Below are 12,741 nucleotides of genomic sequence, written 5' to 3' on the forward strand. Positions count from 1 at the left end.
AGCTGGGACCACAGGTGCTCACCATCATACCCAGCTATTTTTTTGTATTTTTAGTAAAGATGGGGTTTTGCCACGTTGCCCAGGCTGGGACACTCTTCTCATCATAGCCTCCAAGATGTTGTTCTTTTTTTTTTTTTTTGAGATGGAGTCTTGCTATGTCACCCAGGCTGAAGTGCAGTGGTGCGATCTCGGCTCACTGCAGCCTCTGCCTCCTCTGCCTCCCGGGTTCCAGGGATTCTCCTGCCTCAGCCACCTGGGTAGCTGAGATTACAGGCATATGCCACCACGCCTGGCTAATTTTTGTATTTTTAGTAGAGATGGGGTTTCGCCATGTTGGCCAGGCTGGTCTCGAACTCTTGATCTCAGGTGATCCACCCGCCTTGGCCTCCCATAGTGCTGGGATTACAGGCATGAGCCACTGCGCCTGACCCAAGATGTTCTTCTATCAGTTTTTCACTCTCTTCTTATTGGTGTCTTCAATATCTCCTTCCTGATAAGATTCAGAAATCTGGATCTTATGCTCTGGAATCATAAACATTTATGTTCTAATTCTGGGTTTTCGATCTCTGTGTGATCTTAGGAAAGCTGGTTAACATCATTGAGCCTCAGTTTCTTCATGGTAAAGTGGTAATTGTAATGCCTAGCTCAAAGAATAGCAAGGAGGATTAAATGAGATAATGTATATAAAATGTCTAGGAGACTTCTGGGCAAGACATTGGCACCTTAGATTCAAACACTGGTGCACATCCTCTCCTCTAAGCAAATAATAAGGGTAGGCAGAACCTTAAAAGAGAAAAGTAATAACATATGTGGAGGCTAAAAAATAAGATAAATCTATCTGGAACCAAAAACTGAACAGAAATACAAAGTCATAAAAGGAGCTGAAAATGGAGGCCTGTTGGACTCTGTTTCCGAAATAGGCAGTGGCTACCAAGAGCTAGGCTTCTATGTGTCAACAAGGACCAAAGGAAAGGCACACAAGCGAGGCAACTGGAATCAGGAGTGACAGGGATCCAGTGTCTGGGGAGAAACTTTTCCATCCCATTGGCAGCACCATTTTCCTTTTTCAACTACAGGCTGCAGTTGTTTTCCACACACTCCCATCTTAAGGCGCCTGTAAGTGCCGTGTTCATAATTCAGTTTCTATTTCCCTTCCCATACCGCTACACTTTTATTGAATGTACATTTTGCATTCCTGTGAAAAACTCACAGTGATTTATACTGATATCCCAGTGGAGCAGGAACCTCAAGGTGACATTATAAGGACTCAGGGTCCAGCTGCTGAATGTAGACAACTGAAAGAGGGAGCAAGAGGAGGGAAAAGAGGGAAGGAGAGAAAAGAAAATAAGAACAATAAACAAAAGTAAATTAAATACTGATTCATCTGCAGCAGAATTTATTCCTGAAAAAATCTATTTTATAAAGGAAACTGACAATGGCTTTAAAATAAATGTTTCAGGTATTTAAAGACAAAAATGAGTAAAACCATGAACATAATAGATTACAACACATAGACTTGGGAGAAAAGAAATAATGATGAGTAAAGAAACTGATGAAATATGTCAGCAAATTTAATGAAGTATTGACTATTTTGGGTGTGTGTTAAACAACACTGTGTTTAGAGAAAAAAAACAAGATGGGGAAAGGGAGCAATTTGGTTAATTAAATTGTGATAAGTAGGAGGATAGAAATGATTAAAAATAGATTTGTTTAAAATATTTATAGTTAAATAGGTAGGTGAAAAAAATTCAGGGTTGCCACTAAAAGTAAACAATACAATATATGCTTTCTGTATTTGTTTTCTACATCTGTACAACAAATTATCACAAATTTAGCTACTTATAAAAATACATACATTATCTCAGAGTTTCTGTGGGTCAGGAGTATGGGCACAGGCTGGCTGGGTCTTCTCTGTTCAGTGTCTCACCAGGCTGCAATCAAAGGGTAGGCCTAGCTGTGTCCTCAAGTGAAGGCTCTCTTAGGGAAAAATCTACTTCCAAGCTTCCTAAGGTTGTTGGCTGAATTCAGGTCCTTGCAGCTGTAGGCCTGGAATCCCAGAATTCCTGCAAGTGTTGGCGAGACGCTGCTCTCAGCTCCCAGGAGGTATTTCCACGTCGTTGTCACCTGACTCCCTCTATAGGCAGTTCACAAAATGACTGTTTCTTTGAGGTCAGCAGGAGAATCTCTCAGACTCCTGTTTCTGATCTCTAAACCTTCATTTGAAGGGCTCCCATAATTAGATCAGGCCCAACCAGGATAACTTCCCTCTTCATTAAGTTAACTGATTAGAGACTTAAATCGCATCTTCAAAATCCCTTCCCCTTGGCTGCACAATGTAACCTAAGCACTGGAGTGCTGTCCCATCATATGCACCAGTCCTGCCCACACTCCAGGGAAGATTATACAAGAAGGTGGGAATTTTAGGGGCCATCTTAGAATCTGCCAACCACAGTCTGTCCTTTGAATCCCCAATGATTTACATTCCTCCCAGATGCAACATGTATTTACCCCTCTCAAAGTTCCCACCAGTCTTATCTCATTACAGCAACAGCTTACAGTCCAGTAATACCATATGTTTGTATGTGTATATCTTTTTCAACTGAAAAGGAGCAATAAGAAACAAAAATGAATGATAAACAGAAGAAACAAAAAATTGTAGAAAGAAATACAAATAAACCAATAATCACAACAAACATAAAGAAATTAAGTTTATTTTTTAAAAGATATAGATTTTTTAAATGAGTAAAGTGCACAGAGTCCAGCTATATGTTTCTTAAAAAACTACAACAAAATGCAGAAAGATTAAAAGAAAGGAACTAAAAAATATATGCCAGTAAAATTGTAATCCCCAAATATCTAGGGTTCTAATATAACATCAGATAAAACAGAACCTAAATCCAAATTATTACAGGGTTAAAGAAGAATACTACTAATGATACAAAAATAACTTCCTAAGATATATAATAATAATTAATTTATGCACATCTAACAGCATTCTCTCTCTCTCTACACACACACACACACACACACAATCATATTGAAACTGGGAACTTTTAACACAACTCTATTAAGTTTATTAACTTAATAATAGTAGAAAAGATTTGAAAACAGAATGAACATGTTTGATGTAATGAACTATAATAAAATTTGTACCTCTATGTTCTTTTCAAGTACAAAGATGCCATTTACAGTAATTAACTGTATCATAATCAAATGTCAACACATCTCAAAGTTTCAATATCATAGCGACTATGTTATCTCACTGTAATGAAATTAAACCAGAAATTAAAAATTAAAAGATAGATAAAAGATCATATATTTAGAACTCTAGAACATTCACTCCTAAATAACATAATCCAAAGGAAAATAACAGTGAGAGAATTACAAAGTATTTAGGATAGAACACCAATGAAAAGACAGCTGAAACTGCAAAATTAGTGAGATGCAGATAAAATATTTACAGGTAAGTTTAAATGGATCTATTCAATATCAAGAAAGACTAAATATAAATGAGTTAAGTATTTAAAGATCTAGACAAAGAATTTAGAAAGAGTAACTCAAAATAATCAGAAGAAAAAATAACAAACATAATCAAGAAATACATAAAATAGAAAACTATAATACACTGGGGCGAATGAACGTGACCACAGCTTGGTTCTCTGAGAAACAGAAAAGGCTGTAGCAAGACTAATTTTTTAAGAATAGGCATAAATAAACAATAACAGCAAGAGAAAAGGAGAAAGATACACCACAGATACTAAAAATGCAATAGTCTGAGAATCAAGGTAATTACATTCTGCTTGTTGATGACTGAGGTAGGAGCAGGCATATGACAATTCTTGTGAAAAGGACAATGAGAAAAAAGGAGAAATTTTGCTAGAACTCTTCTTGAAAAGTATTATTTGCTTTTAGGAAAGGTCAGAAGACAAGAAACTGCCCCTTCCTGATTTTGGATGTTGTTGTCTGAAGATGTGATGGTTGGTACTGTGGCAACCACATTGGATCATGAGGGCAAAACCAAGGGAATAAGAGAAGTTAACAAGAACATTACTGAGCCCCTGAAGAACCAACCCTAGAACCGCCCTATTTTCAGATTCCTGTTATGTGAGATAATACAGTATTTATGTTTAATTAGCTCTTATAAGAATATTCTATGACTTGGAGCCAAATGCATTCTAACGGATATAACATTCTGGAACCAGTTTCTTAATTTTGTTTTATAAACAGATTATAAATAGAGAAGCAAAGTTTTTCCAACTGGAGTGGAATAATCTGAGAGGCCTTCTCTCATGGATGGCTAATATGGTACAGGAGTCATGAATGAAGAGAGGCTGTTATATAGAACGTTCTGAACTCTGATGGAGGTGCTGAACAATAAGGAGGATTAACAAGTGATGTGACAGAAGCTATCCAAAGGGAAAGGACCAATGGCTCATTCCCCACCCATTTAAGGAGCCAAAGCTCTTGGCAATCTGAACATAGTTATCGATTATACATACCCTTCATCCTCATAACTCTTCAAATGCCTTTATTAAACAAGAACACTTCTTGCATACATTACCTACCTGGACACAATTCTAAAATATTTTTGGTGAATGAACAGCTATAAGCCATGCCCTTCCATTTTCCATTTCCATTAGCATGCAGCTGAACCCAAATGTAAAAAAATAATTTTGTGATGATATTCATTAATTTGGAAAAGTAATCTCAGCAAGTATCTTAGCAAAGTAAATCTTTAACATAAAAAAATGCTGATGGCACACTTACTCAGATTTTGGTGGGCGACGTTCTCTTGGATACCAGTTATATTCTCATTTGAATTTCCTGTTTCTTGTTTTATGTGCATATAACTTCCTTTTTTTTCCATAAAAGTACCTGAAATTGGAGTGAGATTCTTGTAATGAGTTTTTTCTTGCAATATATTTAGATGAACAACAACAGTATGGTATTCCTAAGATCCTGTTACTCCTATTCCTTAATGGAAACATCGTGTTACTGATTCTTCTCCCACTGGAGGAATATGCTTTGAGGACTGAACTTTTTTCCCTGTCTCTCTCTCGTTTATTGGGAAAACAACGTCATCGTCTTCTTGGATTGCTGACATTTGGATAAGGCAGATGAAACAAGTAAGTGTCCTACGTCCAGATAGAAATAGCAACCATGCACAAAATTTTCTTATAAAACAGATAATAGAGTGACTATAATAGAGACTAGACCAGAAGTCTGGATTCTTGGGTCCAACTGTTCAATCTTAGGCTTGTTCTGAGATGCCGGAAAAAAAAAAAAATCACTCAAGAGTCTTTTGGTGCCTTTTTGGGCTGCACCTATAAATGGTAATTATACTTTTCTATTATAGAGTTCTCCACCATCTATTGTGATGTGTAACTATATCAAAGGAGTAGTTGACAGCTTAGTTAATGCATAGAGTATAAATCACGTTGAGTTTCTCACAGGAATACAAAATGTACATTAAATACAAAGTCTAGCAGCATGAGAAGGGAAATAGAAACTGTGAATCATGAGCACACCACTTACAGATGTCTCAAGATGTGGGTTATGTGGAATACAACTGCAGCCTGTAGTTAAAAAAGGAAACTGATGCTACTGGTGGGATGGGTTGTTTTCTAGGGCAGGGCTCAGGAGACAGACGAGACAGATTTCTACCCTCGACTTGAAAATGGGCCATTGTGTGAGCCTTGGCAACTTTGGTACAGCCTGCAGCGACTAAAATGGCCTGGCCCCTGCCCACTTCTCTATTATTAGATAGATTGCATTAACGGCCCAATTCTTCATCCTTTCCTGTATCCTTGCTTTTTTGCCATGGGGTTTTAAGCAACTCCTACAAAGAGGTAGAGTATATTTGGGGTATCTTGATTTAGAGTTTGGCCATGTGACTTGCTTTGGCTAATAGAATTTTAGTGGTTGTGATACTAACAGATGTCTAGAAAGTGCTTGCATGTATTTGGTTTTGCTCTTGCTCCTCTGGGATGGTGAGGGGAACATGCCCTGGCTAGGCTGCTGAAGGATGAGACATACAGAACAGAGCCAAGCTGCCCAGGTGTTCCAGCCAAAGCCAACCTAGATCAACCATCAGCCAGCTGGTTCCCAGACATGTGAATAAGCCAAACCAACAGGAAAAATTGCCCAGTTGTGCTTGTCCTAAATAACTGACTCCCAGACTCATAAGCAAAATAAATGCTTATTGTTACAAACCACTGAGTTTTGAGATGATTTGTTATACAGCATTCTTGTGGCTATCAATCTGATATACTTTCCAACACTTCCCTGTTGCTCTCCACACCCACTCCAGCAACATTAGACTTATCTATTTAAGAGAACTTTTCATGTACCCCAGGACAGGATCCTTGCACATGCTGTTCTCCCTCTGCCTGGAGCTGTCTCTTATGCGTCTCCCCTGGCCCCTTACGTTGGCCAGCTCCTTAGCTGAAATACATTTATTCATCAGTTCTTAGCTCAAAAGTAGCTTCCTTAGGCAAGCTTTTCCTTCCAATCCAGAGTAAGTGGGCTTTCTTTAAAATTGCAATATATTTTCATGTATTTGTGTTACTTTATATCAGAGAACTTTTTACTGATGTCTCTGTTAATGAATGATAATCTAATTTTTTTGTGTGTGTGTGATAGTTAAGCTGGTCTCCTCCATGAAATTGCAAAGTCCATGAGTTTAGAGGCTGCAACTGTTATCTGGGTCGCCACTGTATCCTAACGCAGCAGATAATATAGTGTATTAGGTACACGCTACCTAATGCAGTGACAGGCACCAATTTTTATTGAATGAAGATGTAAGTCGTATCCTCCACCTTTTGTGTGTGATGACTGATGAGTTACATTTGTAGCCTTCTCGAGAAGTATGCTTTGAGTAACTGGAGCTGCCTCATTCAAAGATACCTGAGAGGTACACAAATAAGCCCTCTCCCCCACAGGAAGCCTGTAATCAGTGACTCATAGATGCAGCTATGGAGTAGTCCAGCCTGCTTGCCTCTGAGTGAGATAACCTCCGTGGTGTAATTTATGCTCTAGAGCTCCCCGTGAGATGGGGCCTAGGCTTGACTTCTAAAACCACATCTTTGCCAGGTTCCTTTCCCTGCACTAATCTATGCCCTCATCTTGCTTTATGTTTCTCCTGAGAACTTGACCTCAATAAATCACTTGCAGGAAAATTCCTATTTTAGGTTCTACTTCCAACCAAACCCAAATAAAGACATGCAATAAATTTGAGCATTTCTTGCTCAACCAAAAAATAAAATAACCAAAAGAACCCTGAAATAGTATCCATTGGTATAAATCTTTGGATAGAGAAAAATTATAGCTCACTCTTCTCAAAGGGTCCAGAAATTCACAGACATCTGATAATTTGGGGGTTGGTTAGAACCTCCATAGTTATTAAAGCAAAGTTTTATTCATTCCTGGAAATGTTTATTCTCAAATTGTACCACTATACACTAATACATTTCTTAACAGCACTATTCAAGTAGAGAGCATGTTTGATGTCTGACTGCCAGGATTTTCATCTCCCCTGTATTTGTGGGTTTCTGCTTTCAGAAGATAATCAGAGAATAGGTGATGGTGGCTAGAAAAACGCCCGTCATACAGTCTTAAAAGAAAAATTATATAAGGCTACACATAGTGCAATCTTAAATAATAAAACAAATCTATCCATCTCTCTATCTAGGCATTGAAAAATCAATGAAAGAAAGCATACCAAGATGTGAACAGCAGTAGTAAAGTTCTGAGAGATTTTTATTTCATCTTTTACAATTTTACAATCTTCACATTTTAAACAGAAAGCATGACTGTGGTTTTTGAAAAAATATGGTTTAAAAAAAGGGTAACTCAGCAAACAGATCAAAGAGAGAACAATAGCACTTCCTCCCCCTCCCCCCAACCTCACCCCCTGCAAATGAGCTCTGTACAAAAGTAAATTTCTGGACATTCTACATCAAATATAAGATGGCTTTGAAAGGTGGAGAAAATCAGATCTCCTAGGGATTTAAGGAAATAAGACACAACACAGTGGTGAGTTCCCTGGGTTTTCATTTTGCCTCATATATCCCAGAGTTGGAACTGAAGAAACTGGAGAAATGCCAATGGGCACAGACAAGGAAACCACCAACAAAAGCCTGTTGTCTGTAGCCAAAGGACCAGGAAGGGGCAGCCTAACAAGGCAGGACTCTTCTATACCCACTCTACTTCAGTGGGACACCACAGAAGCAACCTGTGACCCCAGCCCTACTGAAGCCCATGAAGGCTGATTGGGGAGCTCTGACTTTCACCCTCACTAGACTATAAGGAGGAACCCAATCTCTCTGCCTGGGTGGTATTAGAAAGGCTGAGTAGAGAGTTGGTTTGTTGATCTCTTCTAGACAGTAACAAGACTTCCCACCTCCTACATGGGGTCAGTGGAGAACACATGGGGAGCCTGGCCTTCCACCCCTGCTCAGCGGTAAAGAGGCATCCCCCCCAACTATTCACTGTTGTGGTGTCAGAGGAGGCCTAACAGACAGGCAGGACTTCCACCCCCCCCACCCCCAAGTAAAGAGGCCATAACTCTCTTCTGTGGTGCTAGTGGGGCCATGAGGGAGTGCAGCACTAGGCATTCCTTGCTCTCCAAGCCTAGGGGATTCAGTCAGTGGAGGCGTAATGAAAAGTCAGAGTGCCCACCCACCCAGGAGTGATAAGGAGCCTCACTTCAGGTGTGAATGAAGGCCACCTGGTTGTCCACCCAACATGGCAGCAGTGAGGTATCTCCTTCCTCCTCTGCTGGAGCAGAGTTAGAGGAAGCTGGCTCGAACAGATTTAAACAAGATCCAAAGTCTCAGAAAGTAACATCCACAATGTCCAAGTTTCAATCGAGTAACATGCTTTATACTGGGAAGATCTCAAGCTGAATGAAAAAAAAGGTGATCCATAGATGCCAACACGGAGATGACAGGAATGGCAGAATCATCTAACGGACAGTTTAAAGCAACCATCATAAAAAATGCTGGCACTGAATAGTTATGAACACACTTGAAACAGGAACAAAATAGAAAGTTTCAGCAAAGAAACAGGATAGAAAGAACCAAATGGAAAGTTTATAACTGAAAAATACAGCAACCAAAATAAAATAAAAATGGATGAGCTGAACAGCAAAATGGAGGGCACAGAGAAAAGCATCTGTAAACTGGAAGACAGAATGATAGAAATTACCCAATTTGAACAATGCAGAGAAAACAGACTGAAAAAGTGAAAACAACATCAGGGACCTGTGGGATTATAACAGAAGAGCTAATATTTATGTCACCGAACTCCTGTATTGAAAGGAGAAAGTGGGGCTGGAAACTTGAAGATATAATAGTTGAAAATTTACCAAATTTGGCTAAAGACATACACCTTTAGAATCAAGAAGCTGAACGAAACTCACGATTTTCAAGAATAAGTCTGAGTATGACTATGTAGGTTATGAAAGCCACCAGATAATCACTTTGTTCAGATTATGAAGTTGTTGTTTTTAACCTGTGAAAAGGACTCAGAGACCATCAGTGATGCTACAGTAACAGTGTTAGACAGTGTCTAGCCAGAGTGACTAGTTATGACTTCAGTTAGCCCAGGAAGATTCAAATTAAGTGTAGAAATGTTTAAGACACTCCATTGTTCAATATTTTTGTGCATTTGATATTTTATGCATTTTCCACATGTAAGAAATATTTGGATTAACAGGTCAGTGTCCTGTTTTCATACAATCTAACATGTATGACTAAGCATACATGTTCAGTCTAACATGTGTGACTAAGCACGTGATAAAAAATTTGCAATTTTAAGTTGAAATCTTACTGAGTATGCAGGCAGTATCAGCACATTTAAGAGAACTTAAGAATTTCTTGACGATTTTTAAACTTTTTTGTGAGAATTTCTTAAATGGAGCGGACTAGCATAAAATTGAAAACAAAACTATAACGAAATATATTAAATTTGTACAGGCAGTTTGCGTATTTAAAGGAGTTTCATTGTTTGAAAACATGAATCAATCCCCTTAAAGGTGATTTTTCAAAATTGAATAGATTTATAAATAGAATGAGATCTACAAATTCAGAAAGTTGGCTTTAAAATTTGTAACTTAATTATTCACATTTAAACCTCTGGAAGATCTTTTCAATGCCTAAAACCTGCCCCTAAAGACATAAAATCCCTCACACTAACATATACATGAACATGTGGTATGATCATCATCTATGGGAAAAATCTTGTTAACTTTTTCTAGTGTGGAAACACTAGAAAAGTGGAAACTTGGTCGGGCGCAGTGGCTCACGCCTGTAATCCCGGCACTTTGGGAGGCTGAGGCAGGCGGATCATGAGGTCAGGAGATCGAGACCATCCTGGCTAACACAGTGATACCCTATCTCTACTAAACACACTGCACTCCAGCCTGAGCGAAAGAGCAAGACTCCATCTCAAAAAACAAAACAAAACAAAAAAACCCCAGAAAAGTGGAAAGTTGCATTGCTTCTCCAAGTCCTGTCCAGTTCAAGTGAGTAGTTCTAAGCATGTCTGGATTACTCATTCCTTGAGTAGAGATTTTGCCTCTATTTAATCTCTGTTATCGCTGCAGCTGCCATGGTGCCAGGGAAGAGCAGATGGTAGAGAAACACGTGTTTGAATTCAACTTAATCAGCTACATTTTCCAAGCTCTATTTTAAAATGGTGTATTCTGCGACAGTGGTCCTGAAGAGGTTTGGCTTCCAAGGATGAAATGACTCAGAAGAACCTGAAGCTCACCAGCCATATTTGCAGCCTGAGCACTCATAGGATGACAACGTTGAGCAGAATTTAGCCCCCTCCAGCACTCTGTTAGAGTTTGGGAAGAACTGTTAGCTGCCTGGAACATGCTTTTTTGTATACTCAGGAGGCAAAGTTCTGCCATGTTGCCTTTAACCAGCCATGTTTTTGAGGTGCTGATTGTCCTTACACAATGCCTTTTTCTAAGTAGCAAGCTTCACCCCCATGAAACACCTCAATATAGATCAACATACTGTTTGACATTCATCACTGGAACAAAATGTGGCATAATTTCAAATACTAGAATTTTAGACACTGCACTTCAAAGTTAAAGAGACTTACAGCAACATGAAAAAGTCATCAATAATTACAACGCATATTATAGAAAAAATTAAGTTCTATATATTGAACAAAACTGGGTGGCATATCCATGAAATACATGCTCTTTGAGAACCAGTAACTAATTATATTATTCCAGTTAAAGATCTAAAACTAAGATGAGTTTTCATTCTGAGACACTAAAATGTAAACTGAGTGAGATTTTTAAATGTTATTTGAATAGATCAGCTTTAAAACAAACTTACTTGGGTTTGTATTTACCATATTTTTTTGCAGTTTAATATTTATCCCCCCAAAAAGTATATTATTAAAAGAACAGTATAACTTACATAAGTTTTCACAATCATAGAACATTTGTAAATTAGTTCAAGATCTCAGAGAAATGTGTAAAAGCATTTGTATCTTTTTAAATTTAATATATTTATCTAATAAGTATACTCTTGTCTCACTTAACTTTATGCAGTGCTTTTTCTTTTGGTAATTTTTGTCTTTATTATACCAATGACCCATATTTACTATAGTAAATTAATACATATAATTGAATCAGTGTGTCTCAACCTTGGCACTATTGACACTTTGGGTTGAATAATTCTTTGCTGTGGAGGGCAGACCCTGTGTTGTAGAATGTTCAGCAGCATCCTTGGCCTCTACCTACTAGAAGTGAGGAGTGTCTCCAGTTTCAACAAAGAGAAGCGTCTCTAGACATTGCAAAATTTTCCCAGGGAGAGCAAAATTGTCCTTAGTTGAGAGCCACTAATTTATGAAAAGAAAACAAAGTCACCCATTTTTCTTCCACACTTATATTTTAGTTTATATTGTTATGGTCAATTTTCTCTATCTATACAGATATGTATCCAAGTATCTAGCTATAAGATATTTTATATATGGAATATATATAAACACATTTAAAATTAGCATTATTACTTCTCTTTTGCAGCATATATTATGAACATTCTTTCACAAAAACGTATATGTTTATTTCCTCATTTTTAAAATGGCTACACGATATTCCACTGTTTATACACAATATTATTTATTCCATTTACTACTTTTAGATATTGAAGTTATTCCCAATGTTTGATAAAAGTGTGCCTTTGGTTGGGTATGATATTCTTGGGAAACACATTCTTCCCCTAAAATTTTTGCAGATTTGCTTCACTGTCTTTTGGTATCAAAAATGGCTGAGAAGTATGAGTCCAGTAAAATTTCTTCTCCTCTGCATTTGTTCATCTGCATGTTTAGTCAAGGAACCCAAAGGATTCTTTCTTTATTCTTAAAGTTAAAAACCTTTGTCTTTAAAGTATCAACTTGCTGATATTTCCTGAAATACAGTGTTTCTTTTCAGTCTTTTGGCACAATTTCACATTCATTTCAATAAACTTTTATTCTATTATATCTTTAAAATCACTTTCATTTTTAGTTGCTGGTCTTTTCTACTTTAAGCACACCAATTATCCTTATGTTGGATTGTCCTTGTCCTATGTATTATTGTCTCCTAGTTCCTTTAATTTCTTTATTTCCCCCTCTGCATTCATGGTGAATCATACAATCCACTATTTTATATGTTTCCATTTTTCTGGCATCTTCATTTTATTTATTTATTTATTATTATTTTTTGAGATAGAGTTT

At 37.6% G+C, this 12,741-nt stretch overlaps 1 protein-coding gene across 1 annotated transcript in view; it reads right to left on the bottom strand.

The window, feature by feature from the left end:
• The window catches only part of SUCLG2 (succinate-CoA ligase GDP-forming subunit beta), a 294,153-nt gene continuing 285,978 nt past the window's right edge, over positions 4,567 to 12,741 (bottom strand). The window contains exon 11 of the mRNA NM_001177599.2: positions 4,567 to 4,875. Within this exon, the coding sequence (NP_001171070.1) occupies positions 4,736 to 4,875 (140 nt within the window). The 3' untranslated portion in view covers positions 4,567 to 4,735. The remainder of the gene's footprint in view (positions 4,876 to 12,741) is intronic.

The sequence above is a fragment of the Homo sapiens genome, chromosome 3 (genome assembly GCF_000001405.40).
Source record: "Homo sapiens chromosome 3, GRCh38.p14 Primary Assembly".
In the NCBI taxonomy this organism is placed as follows: domain Eukaryota; kingdom Metazoa; phylum Chordata; class Mammalia; order Primates; family Hominidae; genus Homo; species Homo sapiens.